At 36.7% G+C, this 25,616-nt stretch overlaps 2 annotated features.

Moving 5' to 3' along the window:
• Positions 3,553-4,052: an enhancer, noted in NCBI's record as "NANOG-H3K4me1 hESC enhancer chr3:35546827-35547326 (GRCh37/hg19 assembly coordinates)". NCBI's record gives its function as "activates a minimal SCP1, AML or CMV promoter by ChIP-STARR-seq in naive H9 embryonic stem cells {active_cell/tissue: H9 hESC(naive)}" and the evidence as "EXISTENCE:reporter gene assay evidence [ECO:0000049][PMID:30033119]".
• Positions 4,053-4,554: an enhancer, noted in NCBI's record as "NANOG-H3K4me1 hESC enhancer chr3:35546325-35546826 (GRCh37/hg19 assembly coordinates)". NCBI's record gives its function as "activates a minimal SCP1, AML or CMV promoter by ChIP-STARR-seq in naive H9 embryonic stem cells {active_cell/tissue: H9 hESC(naive)}" and the evidence as "EXISTENCE:reporter gene assay evidence [ECO:0000049][PMID:30033119]".

The raw sequence follows: 25,616 nt of genomic DNA, 5'->3' as shown, positions 1-25,616 counted from the left end.
TTATTTATTTATTTTAGTATTCTACACTTTTCCTTAGGAGTAAATTCATTTTTATTTACTATGCTCGAGATTCATTATGCTTTGTAAATCTAAGAATTTATGCTTTTTATTCAATTCTAGAATGGTGTATGCCTTTTTCTATAAATATTTGAATACTGTTTTGCTTCCATTAACTGCATTCTCTTGTCATGCAACACTCATTAGACACAGTTAAGTTTTATTACTACGTCCTCCTCTCCACTTCTCTCAAATTTTCTCATGTATTTAATATTTAAAAATTCATATCTCTAAATAATTGCCTTAAATATATCTTTTACATCATCGATGACTTTACATATTTTATATGTAAATGTTTAAATGTATGTTTGCCTACATATGTCTATATACATATGTATTTAATTATAGAATTTTGTTTTTTTCTCCTCTCGTTGATATTTTCTCATAGTGTTTGATTCATTTCTTAATATTTTTAGCTTTAACCTTTTTATCCTATTTTAACAGATTGGTTAATAATCAAAATCACCTGAATAACAATAACATTGTTATATTTTATAAATAAATATATATATATATATATACTTTTATTCATTTATCTTCTTATTGTGATTTGGATCTTGACCCATGTTTGGAAGGGATTTATCTATGAGGATCTTGTAGATCCTAGGCTAAGGAGTTACCTTTCCAAAAGGATGTATGCTTGCCTCCAGCAAGTGCCCAGGCGTATGGCCATTTTTATGTTAGTTTCTTTGCTAAGAGTTTCCAGACCACACAGTTTGTTTACATTGGAATCTCAAACTCAGGAAAGGTGACTGTGACATTTAAGACTCTAAGGACATTTTGTTTTTGTCTACACGGAACCCATTCAGATTGGAACACTATCGTCCTTTCCCTGTGCCAGCTAAAAGATGTTTTGCCCTTTTTTAAGAAAAAAAAATGTATTTTTTTATTTTGAGACTTATTTTTTCTTTTTACTTTAAGTTCCGGGATACATGTGCAGAACATTCAGGTTTGTTGCATAAGTACACATGTGCCATGGTGGTTTGCTGCACATATTAACCTGTCATCCAGGTTTCCTCCCCTCATCTGCCACCTCCCAACAGGCCCCAACATGTGTTTTTTCCCTCCCTGTGTCCATGTGTTCTCATCGTTCAACTCCCACTTATAAGTGAGAACATGTGGTGTTTGGTTTTCTGTTCCTGTGTTAGTTTGCTGAGATGATGGCTTCCAGCTTCATCCATGTCCCTGCAAAGGACATGATCTCATTCTTTTTTACAGCTGCATAGTATTCCATGGTGTATATGTACCACATTTTCTCTATCCAGCCTATCATTGATGGGCATTTGGGTTAGCTCCATGTCTTTGCTATTGTAAATAGTGCTGCAATAAACATACGTGTGCATGTGTCTTTATAGGAGAATGATTTATATTTCTTTGGGTATATATCCAGCAACGGAATTGCTGGGTCAAATGGTATTTCTGGTTCTGGATACTTGAGGAATCGCCACACTGTCTTCCACAATGGTTGAACTAATTTATATTTGCACCAGCAGTGTAAAAGCATTCCTATTTCTCCATAGCCTCACCAGCATCTATTGTTTCTTGACTTTTTAATAATCACCATTTTTGACTGGCATGAGATTGTATCTCATTGCAGTTTTGATTTGCATTTCTCTAATGATCAGTGATGTTTAGCTTTTTTTTATGTGTTTGTTAGCTGCATAAATGTCTTGTTTTGAGAAGTGTCTGTTCATATCCTTTGCCCAGTTTTTGATGGAGTGGGTTTTTTTTTGTAAATTTGTTGAAGTTCCTTGTAGCTTCTGGATATTAGACCTTTGTCAGATGGGTAGATTGCAAAAATTTTCTCCCATCTCCCATTCTGTAGGTTGCCTGTTCACTCTGATGACAGTTTCTTTTGCTGTGCAGAAGCTCTTTAGTTTAATTAGATTCCATTTGTCAATTTTGGCTTTTGTTGCAATTGCTTTTGGTGTTTTCATCATGAAGTCTTTGCTTATGCTTATGTCCTGAAATGTTATTGCCTAGGTTTTCTTATAGGTCTTTTATGGTTTTGGGTTTTACATTTAAGTCTATATTCTATCTTGAGTTAAGGTTAGTATTTTTATGTGTGAATTTGACCCTGCCATCATGATGCTATCTGGTTATTTTGCACACCAGTTGATGCAGTTTCTTCATAGTGTCATTGGTCTTTATATATTGGTGTGTTTTTGCAGTGGCTGGTACGAGTTTTTTGTTTCCATATTTAGTGCTTCCTTCAGGAGTTCTTGCAAGGCATGTCTGGTGGTAATGAAATTGTTCAACAGTTGCTTGTCTGGAAAGAATTTTATTTTTCCTTCGCTTATGCAGCTTAGTTTGGCTGGATGTGAAATTCTGGGTTGAAAATTCTTTTAAGAATGTTTAATACTGGTCCCCACTCTCTTCTGGCTTGTAGGGTTTCTGCTGAGAGATCTGCCGTTAGTCTGATGGGCTTCCCTTTGTAGGTGACCTGGCCTTTCTCTCTGGCTACCCTTAACATTTTTTTCCATCCTCTTGACCTTGGTGAATCTGAAGATTATGTGTCTTGGGTTTGGTCTTCTCCTGGAGTCTCTTAGTGGTGTTCTCTGGATTTCCTGAATTTTAATGTTGACCTGTCTTGCTAGGTTGGGGAAGTTCTCGTGGATAATATCCTGAAGTGTGTTTTCCAGCTTGGTTCCATTCTCCCTGTCTCCTTCAGGTACTCCAATCAATCATAGGTTCAGTCTTTTTACATGTCCCATATTTCTCAGAGGCTTTGTTTGTTGCTCCTTTTCATTCTGTTTTCTCTAATCATGTCTGCATGCCTTATTTAAGCAAGGTAGTCTTCAAACTCTGATAACCTTTCTTCCACTTGGTCAGTTCGGCTATTGATACATGTGTATGCTTCACAATGTTCTTGTGCTGTGTTTTTCAGCTCCATCAGATCATTTATGTTCCTCTCTAAACTGGTTATTCTAGTTAGCAGCTCCTCTAAGCTTCTTTAAAGGTTCTTAGCTTCTTTGCATTGGGTTAGAATATGCTCCTTTAGCTCAGCAGTTTGTAATTACCCATCTTTTGAAGCCTACTTCTGTCAATTCACCCATCTCATTCTGTGTCCAGTTGTTTGCCCTTGCTGGAGAGGCGTTGTGATCATTTGGAGGAGAAGAGGCACTCTGGCCTTTTGGGTTTTCAGCTTTTTTTCAATGATTCTTTTTCATCTTCATGAGTTTGTCTAGGTTTGATCTTTGAGGCTGCTGACTCTTGGATGGGGTTTTTGTGGGGACTTTTTGTTGTTGATGATGCTGTTGTTGTTGCTTTCTGTTTGTTTTTCTTCAGTGGTCAGGTTCCTCTTCTGTAGGGTTACCGCGGTTTGCTGGGGGTTCACTTCAGGCCCTATTCATTTGGTTAGTGGCTGGGCCAGGAGATGTCACTCAAGGAAGCTGGAGAACAGCAAAGATGGGTAGCTGCTCTTCCTCTGGCTATCTCTGACCTCAATGGGCACCAACCTGATGCCAGCAGGATCGGTCCTGTATAGGGTGTCTGACAACCCCTGTTGGAGGGTCTCATCCAGTTGGGTGGCACAGGGAATAGGACCTGTTTAATGAAGCACTTTAACTCTCTCTGGTGGAGGGGGTGTACTTCATTGTGGGGAATCCCACTTGTCTGGGCTGCCGGATTCCTCAGCTAGCAGGGGGAAAGGCTAAGTCTGCTGGTCCTCAGAGACTGCGGCTACCCCTCCCTCTAGGGGCTCAGGCCCAGGGAGATCAGAGTTCTGTCCCTGGGCCACTGGTTAGAGTTCTTAGAGTTGCTGGAGTTGTTGGAGTTCCTGCAGGGAGGCCCCGCCCAGTGAGGAGGGATGGGTCAGGGTCTGGCCTGAAGAGGCACTCTGGCTGCAGTCTGCCACAGCCCCTGTGTTGGGATATGGGGGACACCTGTTGGAATCAAGTCGTCCAGCCTCCCTGGCTCCAGCAGGGAAAAAGCGTGGCCTGGAGCTATAGAGATTGCTGCCGCCCTCCCCCGCACCCAGGGAGCTTAGCATATTAGGTAGCTATCAGTCCTAGTGCTGGCTGGCTGCTCCTCCCACAAGGAGCTCAAACAGCTTAGACAGCAGGCAGTCACAGCTGTGGTGCTTGTCGTCTGTCCCCCTGGGAACTCGGCAGGCTTAAGCAGATTCTAGCTGAAAGACTGCTGAGAATCTGAGCGGCTCCAGTATTGCGACCCTAGGCCCCAGTGGCGTGGGATTACAGGCGTGAGCCACCGCGCCTGGCCATTTTTAGGTTTTTAAAAATTTCTTCCTGGTCCTTGGCAATTTTATTTGGAGGCTTCTGAGGTCATCTTTGCTTTTACAAGGCTGTTTTATATATTTTATCTAACATTTCTAGTTATCCATATGGTGAGTTTGTTCAGAGTATCTGGTTTTTAAGAAAGTCTTTTCTAGGTACAGGTGCCAATTTAGACCTGTTTTAAAGAGGCATTGCACTGACATTAGTAGAGGTTTGCGTAGGATCTAATATAACCCTCTCTCCATAATAATTTCTTTTGTAAAGTAGAATAAGTTTTCTCTTTCTAAGATATTGGGCTCTCAATCAACTTACTGTGAATAATCAGTTGCCAGCGCAGACACAAATAATAAGCCCACACTGATAGAAATATCTTCAAGTTCATCTATGATTCCATTTTTATGTAGTTTAAGAACATATAGAACAAATCAATGATAATAGAAGACAAAATGGTGGTTACCTATGAGTTATTGATTGGGAGAGGGCTTAAGGGAAACTTCTGGAGTGCTGCAAGAGTTTTACATCTTGATCAAGGTGATAGTCACCACAATTGTTTTCTTATGCAGAACTTCACAAAGCTATATACTTAAAATTAATATACTTAATATACTTTATGCTATATTTATTGTAGCTCAATTTTAAAAATGACGTCCAACATGTCCTAGATAAGCTATAGTCACATTTCAGAGCCACTAGATTGAGTCCTAACCCAGTTATTTTTAAATTTTTTAATTTAAAAATGTTAATAATTTCTTCAAAATCTAAGTCCTAATGTTGTAAGAAAGAATTAATAACTTCTTCTAGATGTGGAAGCGCAAACCCAGAATCATTCTGAACAAGACTAATCTAGCAGATGATATTAATCAATTAGGGTTGGAAAGTGAGAACAGCTGTATTTGAAATGTCTTGACTGGGTGATCTCCAAAGGGCAGACTGGTCTTATGTTTTATGTTACTTATGAGTGGCTCATTTTTCCTGTCTATTGGCAGATTACAGACAAGCTTCATGAGAAAGTGAATAATCACTGTTGACCTTTTGCTTTTCAAAATAAGCCTTGATGTTCAGACATGTATGGTGATTTGTTAATTGTCTATCTTTGTATGGCTTTGCTCTTAATATCCAGCATACTACTGGTTTCCCTTCAAATTCAGTCATTACCAGGATGTTGATTATATTGATTTGATAAATTCTAGTGACATACATAAGGTTAAGGAAAAAAAGACTAACAAAAAATGCCACTGGTTTACAAATTAGATTAATCTTAGGACACTATGATTCAATCCAAGATTTACACCAATTACATCAGCATGAGTTGCCTCCCTTTAAATTGTTGTTCTCACCATAAGCTCTGTGCATCTAGATGAAGCATCACAGGTCTTATTATCTGCTTAGGAGGGGCAATAGAGGTCTTAAGAAAAGTGGCAGAAGCCAGCAGCATAAAGGGAATGTCTGGTCTCTTTTGCTTTGTTTAGTTTGTGATAGCGAATAACCTAAAAGCTTTGAAGCTTTGTTAACTATTACTTTGAGACCAGTTATTTGCTCAGATTCCTTTTAGGTAAGAATAAGAGTCAAATTTTGCAATCTATTAAATTTGTATCTTGTTCCTTTTGATGAAATCCATGATTTTTAATTCAAATTTATTAATCCTTAAACAAATGGCTACTAATATTTATATATCCTTATATTGCTTCTGCCTTCATGCACACCATCTTTTGAAAAAAAAAGTTCACTAGGAAGCTGCATTTTTTTTTTAGTAATACATATTTTGCCAATTTTCTACACCACGAAATGTTTTAATCTGTGGCTCCCTATAGAGTCTGAGAAAAGGACTTGAGTACTGGAGGTTAATTTGGGAAGTGACCTCAAGAACCAGGAATGAGTGAATAGAACAAGGAAGTAAAAGAAAAGTCAGATAAAAAGTTGTCATCAATGTGCTTCCTGTGAATAATAGGGACTTCATTCCATTCTTGAGGCTTCCTGAGGAGCAGGTAGAAGAGCTTCCAGAACTGCCCACCTGCAGATGAATAGCCAGCCTTGGCATTTATCCACTGGCTTCATTGCCTATTGGATGAGGATTATCCCTTGGGTATTACCTCCCTTGTACTTTCAGAAAGAGCATACAAACATGGGTCCAGTGAGCACTGGAATATAACAGAAGGCCCTTGGCAGAATTCAGGAGGACTTAGTACTTGTTGGTGCAGGCTGGCAGTGCAAGGTGAGTCTGAACTTTCAAAGAACTGCCCTCTGCAACTGTGGGTGAAATACATGGGAGTGTGTCACAAAGCACTAGAGGCATTTGGCACACATGCATGATGACAGTATGAACTTCTCAATAACAGGAGAGAAAGTGTGATTCCTACTTAGTAATAACCTAGATGAAAACAAATGGAATTAGTAAGTTTAGAGAAACTTACAGTCCTTATTCAGTTTCCTCAATTATTATTTTCTATAGCAGTTTTCACTAATTCATTACCTTCCAAGGATCTTAAAACTTTGCAGTAGGGTTTGAGTATATATGCTTTGTAAAAGCTTCCCTGATGTTTCTGATGGTTACTATTAGATAAGAATCAGTAATATCCGATCATTGGGTTAGCCATTGTTGATTTATCCTTTTGCTCTTTGAGTTTAGTCACCCTATATTTCAAGGGTTTTCTATATATTCTCACTCAGTATGTGTTAACTGGATGCTCAATGAACATGCTTGACTGAAGAATAAGAAAACTGAAAATATACATTGTCTAAGTTTCATAAGTGACCTATCTAGTCTCCCAGTTTTCTGTTTTGCTGAATGAAATGTGTAAAATTCTGTAATTCATGGCATTTTGACTGTATGTGTCTAGCTATATATTACATGCAGCCAGACACTTGTATATACATACAGCTACGAAGATGCAGACATATCCTTATATGCCATAATAAGCAAGGGTCTTTTCAATCAATTCTCCTCAAATTGTCCCTCATTCAGCATCATCAGTATCAATTAAATACTTGTTAGATGAGCAAACTCTCAGGCCCAATTTTAAAGTTACTAAATCAGGGATTCTGGGCATAGGGTCCAATGATCTGTGTTTTAATATGCTGTCCAGGTGAATTTTATACCCACTACCATTTCAAATCACTGTAATAGATGATTAAAGCCTTACATCCAAGTTAACTTAGAGGACTAGAGACCTTGCTTGCAATATCAGAAGCAGCCTGATGTCATAGACTTTTTAAAAATCCTTGTAAGAAAAGTCTTGTGAAGGAATTTAGGAAGAGGTTATGATATGAACAATGAGATAACTGGAAATAAGGAAAACATGGAGACTTTGGCAGTGTAAAAGAGTGGTGTTGTCTTTTTTTTTTAATGGAAACTCCAGTCCAACTTTGTTGTTGGTTATTGTTAGAGACATGGGTCTCACTATGGTACCTAGGCTGGGCTCAAACTCCTGGGTTAAAGTAATCCTCCAGCCTCAGCCTCCTGAGTAACTGAGACTACAGATGTATGCCACATAATCACACACTGGACAAGAAGTGCTCTCCAACATTACCACAATGTCACCTGTGAAAGCCAGCAAGTCTCTGGTTTAGAACTAATAAACTGTACACTCCTGGTGGGTAGAAGACCCATGAGTTATTCTTCACTCTATATGTTCCATGTGGAAAACCAAGGTGTCCATCTAAAGCACGAGCAACCACTTGGCAGTCCAGGAAGATACTCCAGGCAACTAGCTAGAGTTTGATTTCAAACTCATTCCCACAAAACTCATTGCCAGAATTTGGGCACTGTTTCAGTTCTTCCTTACCATGTTTTGGCTGGAATTTCCTTATTAACCTCACTCTGATTGGACTCCACCAGCTTTGCTCTTCATCTCATCAGCTTCACTAGCCTCCCTTATGCTCCCCAGCATCAGCTTACAAAACAGCTGAAGCTTGCAAAACAGACTTTCCACGCCTGGCCTAAGACTGAATGGCTGAGGCTACGTTTGGACTCAGTCTCTGATTGTGCAGAAAACTCTTGCCTGCTTTCACGCCCAGAATCTCTCAAAGTCACTTTCTTGAGAGAGAAATGTTTTACCTTTTTGTGGGTATTTCCTGAACAGAGAAAATGATGAGAAATCAGTGCTTGATAAAATAGTTTGTCTTTTAGATTTTTTTTACCTCATTTTTTTTTACCACTCCCTCTTAGAAAAGCAAGTATTTATTTGGTAACTCATTAATAGAGTGAGTAGTTGTAGAGTAACAACACTAAGAAAGTGTCCTCCAGCTGTTGTCTGGTTACATGCCAATCTCATACCACAGCCAGGACTGGACTTTCATGAAGAGCTACAAACTGCAACCTTCTCTGTCCACACTCAACCCTTCCTCTTACCCAAAGAGTATCAGCTGTTCACATTAGGAACAATAAATTCAGCTAAATATTAAAAACAAACAACCAAACTAAATCACACTAAGGAGAACATTTATCTTAAACTTCCTTGGGATAGTTACTTTTTAAAAGAGGTATTAGTTAACCAATATAAATTGCTAAGTGACAGCAAGAAATAGTGAAGTGGAACTATACTGGTAATATAAACTTGAGTATGTTTGTTCTTTTTGGGGAATACGGGTGTTTTATATGAGTATATGTTTCATTTTATTCACTGTACTTTCAATGAACACTAATGTGTGAACATGTAAGTGCTTTTGTAAATTTTAAATTATCTTTGGATAGTAAGTGATTTTTCAAATTTTACATGGTCTTTAATACAGATTAAAGTATTATGCACATGGATGGTGTTTATGTCATTCCATAAAATTCCAATTTCCTTTAAAATGTGTTAATTGCATATGGTGATTACTTGGAAATTTTTTTGAAAAGAATATGCTATCTCTCTATTTTTTTTTACATGGGCTCATTAATAATATATATAAACATCATGAAATTATCATTTCAAATACGCTAAACTGAAACTGGAATAATCTGAGTAATAAGGTTTTTTTTTCAACTGTTGCAATAAAGATAAAATTTAGACTACTATTATTTGATAACCATGTATTGAATTTAGACCTGACTGATGCTTTTGCTTATGAAATAAATAGCACATAGCACTTCTAGTTTTTTCTATTTTGATATACTTTGCAAAAATAGTGTTCATAAGCTTTTTTCTTAAGATATTAATCCCTCATTAAATTATTGAGAAACAGTTAATGTGAAGATCCTTTAAAAGATGCAGACAGTGCTCAGAAATGCTCCCTATACTATTGTTTATAACAGGAAAACTTAATGTTTAATTGGGGATTAAGTCAACATAGTATGGTCACCTACCTGATAAAATACTCTGCTTTCATTGAAATTGTTTTGAAAAATATATTACATTATAAATTATGACTATATATAAACAAATCAATATGAAGGTATGATCTTTACTTTGTAAAATACAGACATAAATAAGCAATTAACACTGGTTAGAATATACATCCATATATTAATTAAATATTGGTTTTTAAATTTCATCTTATTGCTTTTCTATATTTTCTGATAGTCATACAAATAGTAATTATTTTAAAAGAAGAGCCAGCTGAGCATATCTACATAAATTTAAATTTAGATTTTAAACCTGAATTCACTTGACCAAAATAATCTATTCCTCCAGTATCTAGGAGATATCGAGGATCTAGAGGGGGAAAGGGCATTCGGTTTCTGGTTCTGGTAGATTCTTGGTAGTTGCCACTCCATCCTACAACAAGTAAATGTGAAAAAACTAAAAAAATAAAGAATTCTTCCTAGAGCTATATGAGAAGTAAGGTCCCAGGGCAAACTGCTACCCACCAAATTGGAGAAACCCAATGGTAAATATAGAGAATCACAATTTTCTGAAACAGAAACCCATGAGCATCAACTTCTGTAGGAGACAGTGCTGGAGTAGGAAAACCTGAGCTGTACTTAACAATTGCTTGAGGCTTAGTGTAGACAACTCAATTGCTTGAGGCTTAGTGTAGACAACTTAGCTTTAAAAACTCCAGGGGAACCCGGTTTTGTGAGTTTCTGTGAGTTTTACCTCCAGGAGCTCTACCAGAACGTCACAGTGATTATCAAAGAAAAATCTTGTCTTGCTTCTGGCAGGAGGAGGGGAAAATAACCATCCTGAAACACACCAGAACATTCTATTCTTCTTAACAAAATCTGCCCTCAGGAGAAACTATTTAAACAGAGTCTAACCTGCTGGGGTTTTCTCAGAGCTTAAGTTACCTGGAGAAAGGGAAATCTCTCACTCCAGCTGCTCTAGCCTTCTATGGGGAGTAAGGAAAATACTGAGCTCCAGCCCAATCTAGCCATCTTGTCCCACTGGGGCAGGAAGGATATTGAGAAACACTTGTGAAATTCACAATCCAATGTACAGGCTTACTAAAAGACTAAGGCCTGATCAAAGGAATATAGAACACTTTCCCTCCCCCACGCCTCACTGTCACATACTAAAGACTTATTTCTGGCAGTTCCTTTTACCCAATACATCATGTCTGGCTATGAAGAAAAAAATTACAAGACATACTACAAACGAAATACTTAGTTTGAAAGATAGAACAAGCACTAAAACCAGACTCAGATATGGTAAGAATGTTAAAAATATCAAATTGGGTACTAAAACAACCATGATTAATATGCTAAGGCTGTACTGGATAAAGTAGACAGCATGAATGAACACATGAACAATGTAAGGAGAGAGAGAGAAATTCTAAGCAAAAAAGAAGACAAAAAATCCTGGATATCAGAAACACTGTAACAGAAATAAAGAATGTCTTTGATGGGCATAGATTACCATTAGCAGATTGAACATGTCTTAGTAAAGAATCTCTAAGCTTTAGGATAACTCAATAGAAACCTCCAAAACTGAAAAGCAAAGAGTAAAAAAGACAAACAAACAAACAACAACAACACAAAACAAGAACAATATCCAAGGGGACTGCGAGACAATTACAAAAGGTATGACATATCTATAATGGGATTACCAGAAGAAAAAGAGAAAGAGAAAGGAACCAAAAAATATTTGAAACAATAAGAAATTAGAATTTTCCCAAATAATGCCAGATGCCCAACCATTGATCCAAGAAGCTCAGAAATCACCAAGTAGAATAAATGCCACAAAACTACACCTGTGCATGTCATTTTCAAGCTACAGAAAATTAAAGAGAGAAAATCCTAAAAGAAGCCAGAAGATAAAATGCCTTACACTTAGAGGAGCAAAAATAAGAATTAAATCTGATTAAACTATGCAAACAAGAAGAGAGTAAAATAAAATATTTACAGTGTTGAGAGAAAAAAAATTACCAACCTAGAAATTTGTATTCTGTGAAATTATCTTTCAAAAGTGAAGAAGAAATAAAGACTTTCTCAGACATAAAAATCTGGAGAATTTGTTCCTGGTATATTAGTCTTGAAAGAAAGATTAGAAGTTTATTAGAGAAAAGGAAAATGACATTGGGCAGAAACTCAGGTCTACATACAGAAACAGTATTGGAGAACAAATAAGTGAAAATGAAATTTTAAAAAACTTTTTTTTCTTTTTTTTTTTTTGAGATGGAGTCTCACTCTGTACCCAGGCTAGAGTACAGTGGTGTGATCTCAGCTGACTGCAACCTCTGCCTCCTGGGTTCAAGCGATTCTCCTGCCTCAGCCCCCTGAGTAGCTGGGATTACAGGTGTGTGCCACCATGCCTGGCTAATTTTTTTTGTATTCTTATTAGAGATGGGGTTTCGCCATGTTGGCCAAGCTGGCCTCGAACTCCTGACCTCAGGTGATCTGCTTGCTTCGGACTCCCAAAGTGCTGGGATTACAGGTGTAAGCCACCACACCTGGCCTATTTTTCTTATTCTTAATTAATCTTATAGCAGCTTTTTCAGAACACAAAACTGTAAAACTTCTAGAAGACAACGTATGATAAATCTACATGACATAGGATTGGCTATACTTTTTTAGATACATCACCAATGATGTGAGCCATAAAAGAAAGAACTGATAAGCTGAACTTCATTAAAATTAAATTTTTCTGACCTGTGAATGATGGTACAAAAAGAATAAAAAGTGAAGACAAGCTACAGTATAGAAAACAAATTGAAAAAGACATGTTTAATAAAAGTCTGTTGTCCAAAATATATTAGGTTTGTACAAAAGTAATGGTAAAAACTACAATTACCTTTATGCCAACCTAATACAAAGAACTCTTAAAACTCAACAATAAGAAACAAAATACTATTAAAAATGAGTCAAATACCTTAACAAATAACTCACCAAATAATATATACAGATGGCAACCAAGCATATAAAAAGATGCTCCACGTTGTATGACATTATGGAAATGCAAAGCGAAACAAAGATGAGATCCACTGTACACCTATTACAGTGGGCTAAATCCAGAACACAAACACCAAATGCTGACAAGGATATGGAGCAACAAGAGCTCCCATTCATTGCTGGTGGAAATGCAAAGTGGGGTAGCCACCTTGGAAAACAGATTAGCTATTTCTTACAAAACTTGACGTTTTCTTACCATATGATTCAACAATCACACTTTTTGGTATTTGTCTAAAGGAACTGAAAACACATCTCCACAAAAAAACATGCACATAGATGTTCATTGCAACTTTATCCACAATGTCAAGCTTAGAAGCAACCAAGTGTCTTTCAGTAAGTGAATAAATACATAAAATCTGGTACATGAAATGAAATGTTATTCACTGAAATAATGTAATGATCTATCAAGAAATGAAAGACATGGATGAAACTTAGATTCATATTACTAAAGAAGCCAGTCTGAAAAGGCTACATACTGTATGATTCCAACTATTAATACGTGACATTTTGGAAAAAGTAAAACTGCGGAGACAGTAAAAGGATCAGTAAATGTCAAGGGTTGGGTGAAGGGATCAATGAATAGGCGAAACACGGGATATTTAAGGCAGTGAAAATATTCTGTATGATACTGTAAGGTGGATACATGTTGTTTTACAGTTTTCCAGACGCATAAAATGTACAACACAAAAAAGGAACCTAATATAAAGAATTAACTTTGGGTGGTGATGTGTCAACCTAGGCTCATCAGTTGTATTATAATAGATGAAGCACTGATGGGGGGATGTTGATCACAGAAGAGGCTATTCATGTGTAGGGGCAAGGGCTATATGGAAAAGCTATGTACTTCCTGTTCAATTTTCTGTGACCTTAAAACTGGTCTAAAAATAAAGTCTATATTTTTAGAAAGGATTAAAATTTTCAAAGATTTCCCAGTTTTAAGGAACCGGGCATTACCTGCAAATTGAAAAGTATGAATAATAAAAGCTTAGCTTTTCATACTACACTGGATCTCCCATCACAGGCAATCCCTATAGATTCTGTCTCTATCAGCCCCTCTTGTCCTTTCTGATATCTTAAAATATTAAAATTGGTCATGTTAAACCAAGTGACTTTCTTCCTTCTGTTCACAGGAGAGTTTGTTAGCTAATTTCTGATTTCTAAATTAACTTTTCCACAATATATTTAGAATATTTTATCCAATTACTGAAAAGAACACCAGGTAAAATACATTTGCACTCTCTAGGAGGCTCTACGCTCACCTTGCAATTAATGTCTCACCATATCACTGATGAATGCAGAAAACTGAGTATTTTGTTTTTTAAGGGAAAATCCATGCCAACTGAAATCATTTTAGAATAAAGTGAGACGCATAATTGCATCGTGGATAAGAGCAGGAATTTCTGCTCCATTCTTTATTTGCTACATCATCATCACCATGGGAAAGTACACCCATCCATTCATTTCTTTGTTTTTTGTTTTGTTTTTGTTTTGAAAAGGTCTTGCTCTTTTGCCCAGGCTGGAGGGCAGTGGTACTATCATGGCTCACTGCAGCCTCACATTCCTGGGCTCAAGCAATCCTCTTGCCTTAGGCACTGGAGTAGCAAGGAAGACAGGCATGAGCCACAACATGCAGCTAATTATTTTTTATACTTTTTTTTTTCTTTGTAGAGGGGGTGTTGCTGTTGCACAGACTGGTCTTGAACTCCTAGCCTCAAGTGATCATCCTGCCTTGGCCTCCCAAAGTACTGGAATTACAGGCATGAACCACTGAGCCTGGCCTTACATTTATCCTTTTTTTAAAAAAAATATTTTCTGAACACTTAATAGTCATTATAGCACAGTGATTAAGAGTATGGACTCTGAACTGGACTTTTGGGCCCAAGTCTGTTCTGCACCACTTATTACTGTGTGAGTCTGAGCAAGTGACTTATTATCTACTTACCTCCATTTTGTCACATGAGGATAAAAAAATTCTTTTCTTATAGGGTTGTTGTGAAGAATACATAGATACTATATATACATATATGACATATATGCATAGGTAGGTAGAGGCAAAGATAAATAGTACAATGATAGCATACGGTAAGTGCAATATAAGTGGCTGCCATGAGTGACCACTATGCACTTTTTGGTTTTTATTTTCCTTATAAAATGGGAGTACTAATATTACCTATCACAGAATATTGTTGTTTGTCATGTTTTAGAATAGTACGGTGCTTGCCAAATAGCAAGAGCCCAATGCATTTATACATCATCAATGTTATCGTAATGTTATATTTTATGTAAAAGCAATGGAAATAAGGAATTTCTAAATATGCTTAAAATGCTAAGGTTTCTCAGGTCCTGCCTGTAGCCTAGCTTATGAATAAAGTATGGCTTATTGCTGACAGTTGATAAAGAGAACTTAGGCATTTTAGCCACAGAATTTACTTTGCAAGGATGAAGGAGATTCAGCATCTTAATGTGTGTTTGGATGTAAGGGGTCTACTGTGGGATATTCTTTTTAGAATGTACTTCAAGTCTGAAAGTCACATATTGTCAAAAGATTTATCAAACTCTCTTCATTTGAAAATAAAAATAAACCAGAAAAGCATGGAATTCTCTTTGCAGAATCAAATATTTCTCACTTGTTCTCATGAGAATGGCTTCAAATGACCACTAATGCTCCTCCCTCTTGGGCTCCATTTCAGCTTCCCAAAGGGAGGGAATAGGAGGTGGTCAGGAAGGTGGTGAGCACCTCACATTGAGGACCTTATATCAAAGGGCAGACTGACTGCTCCCAGATCCGGAGCCTAATCTTCACTGTGGTGGGTGTGTCTGAGCTGAGATACCTGCTTCAGAGGAGACCTGGAACCTTACAGGTTCCTTTAAACTTCCTTTATGTATATATGTGTGCTCACTCATAGAGATGGTGGGAACTAGCCTGTAAAGGTAACTTGCTACATACCAGATATAATTCTAGACATCTTTCACATTGTTCTTGTTGCTGTTGCTTCGTTGTTGTCAGATATAAGTTATGGTATTTGATTCCCATAGCAAACCATGTGCAGACAAGGAGACTGAGTTTTAGACAGAAAACTCATGATAAAGTCAGAATTCAAACTCAGGGGTGTGTAAAAGACCAGGTGTTTCAGAGTTGCTCTAACAATTGGATGCTAATTCTGCATCAGCTATGTACTCTGTAACTTTGAGCAAATCACTCAACATCTGGGAACCTAAGTATCCTCTAGGGTCACTAAACAATGCTTGCTTTATTAGATATGGTTATTATGAATACCACGATCATAAATGAGTCTGTTGGATACTCTAATGGGACAACCACCTTTCACAAGTGTGGGTTGCAATTGTCCTGAATCAGGGTCTAAAGTTCCTGCTGCTCCATCAGTCACTGAAATTTGTCAAAAGTCTGTTACATGCTTCTGGGTCTTCTGCAACAGGATACAAAGCTTAAAAAACAAGGGAAAATAGGCTTTGGTCCATCATAATTTTCTTGTGTTTTACACCAGAAAACTGATGATTACCCATGTATGAATAAGGAGGTCAGTTTAACACAGGACCAAGGGAGGAAACCCCTTACGACTGATGCCTATATCACCAGCTCAGCTTCCCTGAAAATATATAACTATTGCCAGAGATCCACTATTTTGGTGTCCCACTGTCACTTAAGACCCCACAGCCCCTGATCATTTGTTTCAGATTTCCCTTTAACAACAGGTGCATGCAAAACTGAGAGATGGTTTTATTGCATCTTGATGACGTGACTGCAGCTGCTGGTATATAAATAAACTGGAGGCCACTTAGGGCATTTTTTGTCTAAGACCTACATAGGGGGAATGTCAGTTATTTTTTAGCTTTTTAAAAAGACTAGGAGACTGTGAGAACATCCTCTACTAGTGATTTCAGCATCTTGACAAACACTGAAAAACAGTAATTTCTTTGTAAATATAAAGTGACCATTAGAGGAGAAACAAACCAAATATAGGACATGCTAGTGTGGGTTTAATCATGGTAGTCAGTTTTTTTTGCAGGTGTGTGGATTTCACTCCAATAATGTGTTTCTTGATTTCCTTCCTTTTTACCTGCTAACTTTTGCATCATGTAACACCAAGAGATAACAATTAAGAGGTTGGTCCATTTGTAGGCAGAGGAAATCTTAAAACTTTCTAGTACAATAAACAAAATATTTATTATTTGCATTAAATGAGGTGAGAGAAGAAAAGACTTCACCTACAGAAAATTATTGTGTGTGTGCATTACCAAAGCTGTTTTCCTTTTTCTCAATAATGTGAATGTGTGTATTTCTCTCCCTTCCCTATTGCTGAAATTGTGAGGTTTAATTTGGTGGTGCAATCTCTACTCTGTAACTAATAGGAAAATTAGCTATGACTCTGAGGAGCTATTAAAGACTGGATATAACAATAGTGTATTACACTCTGCCACTATCCAGTCTTTGAGAATGGAAGGAAATGAATTTTAAGTAACTCTTTCAGTATCTCCTTTTCAATACATGTTTAATAGTACATGTCTTTTAATGAAAGAACACAGATGGTACAATGAAGTCTTAATTAGATTTCATATTAGGTGCAATTAGTTACTGTTGCAAATGTAAAATCTACAATAGAGCATTAAGAAATAACTTTAAGTCTATCAAGTCACTTCAATTTGTTAGGTCACTAGCCTTTGTGGATTGTAGTGTGCACGTAACAGCTCAAGATGACAGTGAAGTGAATTCATATTTAAAACATGTTATTGGTTAAAATTGTGTCTGATTTGCAGGTTCTGAAGCAGTTTTTCTCAAATTATATATATATGAAAATATGAATGCAGATAACAGTATTACCAACACTGATAGAAAACCTAATTCCAGATTTTAGAGAGAACGTATTCTAATAAAGAGGCCAGTTTAGCCGGATTAAAAATAAAAACACAGCTGCAGACATATCTGAAATACTTCTGATGAATAACTAGACTATACTTCATAAAAAATAGTTTTGGAGGTGGGTGGGTGGTGTTGCAAGAGTTAGAAAGAAAATTGGCATATCTCCCTCTATTTTGCCTTGACCAAATAATTTTAAATTTAATAATGAAAAATAACATGCCAAGCTATACCTCTCCTGCACATGTGCTGTTTTTCAAGATGTCTGAGCATTGTTTATTCTCTTTACCTCAATAGTGCCTCCCATTTCCACACCTTGTCCTTACTTTTTATTTTTTATTCATTGAAAGCAAGAATCAAAGAAAAAATAGGCTTAAGAGATACGGTAAAGATGGTCAGACAGGCATTGAATATTGATAGAATTTAGCTCCTACAATTAAAGCAGGAGAAAATGTCAAGAAGGACCTATTAGGGCATGCTGGGTACAGTGAAGGTCCATGTACTGTATCACCTCAGGGTAATAGAAAAATGGGAGCTAGAAACAGATGATTTCACATGAGGAGATCAGAAACAATGGAATAAAAAATATGGAATACATTTCCAATGACACATCAAGTCTAGCTGATGGTAGCAAGTGGAGCAGGATGTGCTTGCTGTGTTTTAAAAAGCTCTGCCCTTTCTTAGTAGGAAGAGTTGTGTGATAAAATACCAGTGTATATAATGGGAGAAGGGGAGTGATTTACTGTAAATTTCCATGTATTTAAAAATTACCTAAATATTCACTCATCTAATTTGATTTAATAAATAAAGGAATATACATTCTTATAACTGATAATTGATTTTATGTTTCAGCTTGACTGGGCCACGGGATGTCAAGATAGTTGGTCAAACATTATTCCTCGTATTTCTGTGAGAGTGTTTTTGGCTGAGATTAACATTAAAATTGGTGGATCTGAATAGAGAAGAATGCCCTTCATAACGTGAGTGGGCCTCATTCAATGAGTTGAAGGCTTGAATAGAATTTTTTTTTTTTTTTTTTTTTTTTTTTTTTTTTTTTTTTGAGACGGAGTCTTGCTGTGTCGCCCAGGCTGGAGTGCAGTGGCGCGATCTGGGCTCACTGCAAGCTCCGCCTCTCGGGTTCACACCATTCTCCTGCCTCAGCCTCCCGAGTAGCTGGGACTACAGGCGCCCGCCACCGCGCCCGGCTAATTTTTTTTTTTGTATTTTTAGTAGAGACGGGGTTTCACCGTGGTCTCGACCTCCTGACCTCGTGATCCGCCCGCCTCGGCTTCCCAAGGTGCTGGGATTACAGGCGTGAGCCACCGCGCCCGGCCTTGAATAGAATTTAATTACTGATCCTCCCTGAAGTAAGAGAGGATTCTCCAACTGACTGTCTTCAGACTTCATATATAACATGGGCTGTTTTTGCTTAAGGGACTTCAAGCTGGAACACTGGCACTGCCTGCGTCTCCCAAACCACTGGCCCACTCTGCAGATTTTGAACTTAGCAGACTCCATAATTAACTGAGGCAATTCCATAATATAAAGCTATATCTGTATCTATAAACACATGCTATTGGTTCTGCTTCTCTGGAGAACCCTGACCAATATGCACATTAATGAGAAACCCTATTATACTTAAAATCACATTGTGAAGAGTATTTAAGCTCAGAAAAGATTAATGTAAAGTAAAAAAGATGAAACTGATACTCTATATACAGCATTACTACATTATATAATATGTGTACCTACATATAAAGAATTGAAAATAATATAGAAAATATTAATAGTGGTCATCTGTGGGTGTTGGGATTCATTTCATTTTTTTCTTTTTAATTGTCCAGCTTTGTAAATTCTTTATAGTGAATATACCTTCCTTCTTAATTGGTAGGAAATATGTCATTATTTAACAAAAATATAATCAGTTTAAAAGACAGTTACCATAGTTAACATTTTGTTGCTTGCAATGAAGAATATTGCAGTTCCCATAAGAACAAAACCAAAGCATATGTCAAAGAACTGAAGTAACAATTTCTTTCAGCAGGTATGCTACCTGAACAGATGGTATTTAGGAAAGAAATCACTGTACCTTAATGTAAGGCGGAGATACAATTTTTCCAAAAGTTGACATTGAAAATAGATGACATTTGAGGGCATCCCATTCTTTTCCCCAAGAACAGTGTACTCTCTACATATTTGTAGATGTTCTTTTTAAAGAGACTTATTTCCAGGGGACCAGACATCCTCCATCTCCAGTTCTTGCTGCCATATAAAACATAAGACACTAAGAAAATCAGAGAAAAAAAATGTCATATTTCTTATTGTGGCCTTATTTACTGTTTTCATTAAAGATTAGTGAAACATAGTTTGGTGTGGAATAGACATTTCTCCCTGAGCCTGTTCTTCTTTTACTTTTTGTTTCCTATTTAATTAACATAATTTATGAAAATCTTTTTTTTTTTTTTTGAGACAGAGTCTAGCTCTGTCACCCAGGCTGGAGTGCAGTGGCACCATCTCAGCTCACTGCAACCTCTGCCTCCCAGGTTCAAGTGATTCTCCTGCCTCAGCCTCCTAAGTAGCTGGGATTACAGGCACCCACCACCACACCCAGCGAATTTTTGTATTTTTAATAGAGACAGGGTTTCATTGTGTTGGCCAGGCCGATCTTGAACTCCTGACCTTGTGATCCACCCGCCTTGGCCTCCCAAAGTGCTGGGATTACAAACGTGAGCCATCACACCCAGCCAATTTATGAAAATCTTAATGTTTGTATATGTATGTGCGTATATATACACATGTGTACACATTCACAAATACATGTATGTGCATATATACACACATCCGTATATACATGTTTCTGTGTACATATGTGTATACATGTATATGTCTTCTTTCACCATCTGCCCTTTCTTACCCATGGACTGTATGATTATGATTTTGTCCCCCTTACTTCTTAATCTCTGAATTAAGAAACTGAATGCTGGCGTTTGCTTTCAGAGATCCAGTGCAGACTTATAGATTGTTGAGTATTTTGTCTGCTTCTTCATGATTTGAAAAATAATGAACTAATGACCATTTTTCCCTCCTCCTCTTTTTCTTCCTCCTCCTTTTTCTTCTCACTTTTATACTTTGGATATCTGGTTTCTAGTAGCTGAATCACTTGATGACAAACATAAATTCCCAGCTATAAATTTGGGACAGCAATTAAAGCCTCACAAGGATATTGTGCAGTTACACAACTAGTAAAGTAAATCATTAGAAGAGTTTTTGGGATTGGAGCACCATTCAAGATATATATGTCCTCTTCTATTTTCTTCCATTTTTAATTGACTTTTTGTCTTTTTGTCTGTACCTTGTTTTTTTTTTTTTTTTTGCCGTTTTCTTTTTCACCTCCTTCATACATTCCACCTTCTTTCATTTTCTGTACTTTGCAGATTAGACAAAGGGTACAAAATGATCTGATCACTTACATGAACCAAAGTTGGCCTCCAGTTAATCATCCTGCATGAGCCACAGAAATGTCTCCTGTATAACAATAGCAATTGAAGGCTGAGATCCTTTAGTGAGCGAAGAAAAGCCTAGTTGGAGGAAGGTTAAAGGAGTGCAGGACTTTGGCCATCTAGGGTAAATACTGATGTTACTAACATTTCATATATGACCTTGGGTAAGTCTCCTAACATTTCTGTACCTCAGTTTCTTTATCTGTAAACTGGGAATAATAATAGTCAGTTTCTTATAGAGTAAATAGGAATTTTAAATGAGTGAACATAAGTGACTAAATAAAATGAAATTGCTGTTTCTGTGGGCCAAAACCTGATAAGCATTAGCAATTTCATAAGTTTTAGTTTAATACAAAATTCTCTTACAAGAGTACATAATGCCAATCCCTCAATAAATGTTAGCTATTCTTTTTATTATTACCATTATGTAGGAAAAAACAACAGCAGAGTAAAATGTCTTGTCTAGGATGTCAATGGAGTCTGAATGGATCTGGGGGGCATTTTATTGGACTAAGAGGGTGCAGTGGCTGAACAGTGCCTTCCTAAACAATATATTCATTCCTAATCCCTGGAAGCTGTGAAAATTACCTTATTTGCAAAAAGAATCTTTGAAGATGTAACTAAATTAAGGATCTTGAGAATGGGAGATTATCCTGCATTATCTGAGTGAGCCCCAAGTTCAATGATTAGTGTTCTTATACGAGAGAAGCAGGGGGAGATTTGACAGACAGAAGAGGAAGCAGAAATGTGACCTTGGAGGAAGAGATGGGAGTGAAGTGCTACAAATCATGGAATGCCAGGAGCCATTAGAGTTTAAAAACAGACAAGAAACAGATTCCCTTCTAGAGTTCCAGAGGGAGGCTGGCCCTGTAGACACCTTGATTTAGGCCAAGTGATGCTGATTTTGAACTTCTGGCCTCTGGAACTGTGAGCGAATAAATTTATGTTGTTTGAGGCTATCAAGTTTGTGGTAGTTTGTTACAGAAGCCCTGGGAAAGTAATACAGAATGCAACTAAATTCTGTGGCCAGAGTTAGGCAATTCATAGAGGACAGGTTTCTACTCTGATGTTCTAATCCCTTGGAACCCATCGGATCTCATTTTCAATTTTATGGATCTAACTGGCTGCTGTGCTGGACTTTCAGGAAAGTCTGTGAGGTTGAAAATTGGTATTCTCGTAAATGCCTGCAAGTGTAATGATATATGGATATCTCTCCCTGCCTGCCAGAAGAAGTCAGCACCTGCATGCCTTGTGTGTTGAACAACTCAGAGGCATAAATAAATAAATAAATAAATAAATAAATAAATAAGACTAAATCCAAAGACAGCCTTACAAATGTCCCCTCATCCTCGCTGTATCTCCTGAAAATGTTTTCATCCAAGCAGTCCAATCCAATTGTTCCTACATTACAGACCAATTCTTACAGAATGAGTTCATATAAAAAAGGGAGTTCTGATATAGATCAGGTTTCACACTGATCCAACTGCATTCTTTTGGTTTTTGTTTGTCACACCTGAAAACTCTCCTTTTTTGGTCACCTAAAGATCTAAAAACATATATTAGGTATTTAAACCAATGTCAGGACTGACATTTTAACCAGTCCTTCCCTCCACTTCGTTCTTGTTTTTTGTAAACTTAAAATAAAGCATGAGTTAACATTTACCCTGATGTTTAAGAAATGTGTGCAATTTTAAAAAATTATACTGGCTTTCTATTTAAAAAATCCCCCAAACTAGCTTTGAAGTAAATGGCCATTTTGATAATTAAAGGACACAGACTTGTGGGAAAATTGTTTCTCTGTCATGTAAGCAATCATGAGTAGCCATTCACCATTCCTATATTGTGCTAATAGGCTGTGTATATGCATGGGTATTTGCAGAAATTCCCTTTGTCACATTGACCTCTATCGGATGAAATGTCACATCAACCCAACTCAGCCTAAAAACTTCCTCCTATTGGTTAGGGCTCCAGTATAAAACCCCAGGCAGAAAGCAGAGGGAAAGGAAAAGGGCAGAGGAAAACACAGTAAAGAAGGGAGGCAAGTAAGGACAACAAATGGAGGTAGTGAAGCACACAGAAGTTTATAGAAAAGCAAAGAAAAGAGGGAAAATGTAAGTGGGGAAAAGTTTGAAGTGCCAAGGAAGAACATTCATGACCTCATTAACCTTTAGCAATCTTTTCCTGGTCCAAAGACATAAACAATTTGGCAGCAGTCTAGTTGATCTGATCATTTAATTAATTGTTGATCTTCTTTATTTGTTATTTTTATTTTTCTAATTATCCAAGTTGAATGTCTCCACTGGTCAAATATATGGACATATATAAGTCTTCATTTGGCAAGCCTCTATGTCACTTTGAGCTAAGCAGGCTGAGACTAGGAGAGAATTGGCAACATAAAGCCAAGTATTTCAGCAAAGTGAGATGTATACCACTCCCTTGGGATTAATGACCTAAATCAGGTATTTGATGATGCATCTGAGAACTGGACTATGCAAAACCCAACTATATCATCCAAAAGTGGACGGGGAAATGCTGTGGAATGTAAGATTTTCCTTTCTTCATCACAGTCAGTTTCCTTTTCAGTGGCTAAAGTAAACTATTTCAACTTTATTGTCATGCCACTTACAATGTTGTGAGGTTTGTGGTGTGCAGGAATCAGCCCTTGGAATAAGGTAAGCATCAATTCTGCTGGCAATCCAAGTTTCCCTGTCCTGTTTGCCACATAAAGTAGTAGGGCCCTCCATCTGCACTTTCTTTGCCATCAAAAGAACCTGCCCAAGGAGACATCTTTTCAGGCTTGTTTTAAAAATATACAAATAATAATAATAATAATAAAAGCAGCATCCATCACTTATTTTTGTCTTTCTTTCCTTCCACTTTCCACAGTTCTTTTAACCTCAGCATTCTACCTTTGAGAAAGGTATGCTCCATAATGCAGCTTGACTTAAATTATGACCCTGCTGCACTATTTCTTTGAGCTGCTATTTTCCCTGCCTGTTCCAGCTGCTGAGCACAATTGCTACAGCTCAATTATTAAAGAGATACTAAAAATAGCCCAGTGCAAGGCTGTTGACAAAGAAAAATCATTCAAACACAGCAAGAGACACAAGTTCGGCAGCAAGCTTTCACTGTTATTAGATCCTTAATTCTCCCACCCCCTTTTCTCTTTATGCCTTGCTTTTTTTTTCTTTCAGCAATAATAAAGTAATAAGCAGCTTAAAGATCTCTTTTTTGTACCACAGGAATTTACATAAGCTGATGACTGCTTTGCTAGTGCAATGACTCCTTAGCTAGTGCAATGACTCCTTACTGAAAAAGCATAAGTTTGACTTAGGAGCCAAGTTGCAAAGCTGCATGCAGAGGAATTTACAATTGATTCTTTTCCTTGTGAGTGGTGTGTGAGACCTATTCACTCAGACCTGCCATTCTCCAAAGTGTCCCTCCTGAGATGTATCAGAGTTGAAATTAGAGTTTTCCTCCAAAATCTTCTAAAGAGATTTTCTTTAGAAAATTTTTTAATGTTAGAAATTAGAAAAATTAGAACTATTAGACAAAAATGGCCCCATGTTTAAAGACTTATAACCTCAGTATTTTCCCTTTCCACATACTATGTGACACTGCTTGACACAAATTATTGAACTCTCTGAGTTTTACTTTTCCTATCTATGTGTCTATCTATAAAATATTAACTGAATGTATTCATTTTCTCATAGAATAGAGAAGGGCATTGTAATATAATCAGTCTTGAAAAGCTATGAAATCCTCTGTGCTTTAGCTCACAAGTCTGGGTCATTATGTGTATATAATGAAAAAGTATGTGAAAAAGATAGAAGAAAATATTTAAAAATAATACTGAGCATTTCTGAGAATAGAATATAGAATATGTTTAACAGAAATTACTGAAATTCAGGCAAATGAAAGAAAATAAACCAAAACATGGTAACATTTTGAAAAGTCCAAATGGTTTTTCTCCAAGCACTTATGTAGGAATACACACACACACACACAAACACACAATATTAATTATTGCCCAGCTATCTCTAATAAAAATAAAAATTATCAACAACAGAATTTATGCAATAATAAGTATTGGCTAAAAAGGAAAATTTCTATGATTTCTGAGGGAAAAATTCTATGTGCAAGTTGTTGTTTTTATGCCGAGAAAAAAAGCCATCCATAGATATCCAGGAATTCAGAAAATTTACCATCCTTGTTCCTTTCCTGAAAGTGTTACCTGAAGAAATATAGTGATTGATAGGACTAAATGAAAACCAAAATATTACGAATGAGAAGACACACCATTGGGGGAAAAAGGATTATGGAAAATAAAACCTATAAACATAGAATCTATGCCTTATTTGCTGATAATTTATGAGACATAGAAATACCAAAATAATTTCTGACAGAGACCAAATGTGAGTCAAAACGGAAGAGCAACTTCTGTGAAATCCCACATTCTTAAAAAGGGAAAATTGACACAAAGCAGTATAATATGAAAAATTGATATTAAATGATCAATTATTCTTTATCCTTTTGTAAATACATATGTATATGACTACTTTATATTAAAAGTAATGAAAACTAAAATAAAAACAAGACTAATAATTTATAAATCAATAAGGCAGAGTATATATAATATA

This window comes from Homo sapiens, chromosome 3, assembly GCF_000001405.40.
Source record: "Homo sapiens chromosome 3, GRCh38.p14 Primary Assembly".
Taxonomy (NCBI): Eukaryota; Metazoa; Chordata; class Mammalia; order Primates; family Hominidae; genus Homo; species Homo sapiens.
Note: the sequence above shows the minus strand (reverse complement) of the source record. Positions and strands in the feature narration are given on the sequence as shown.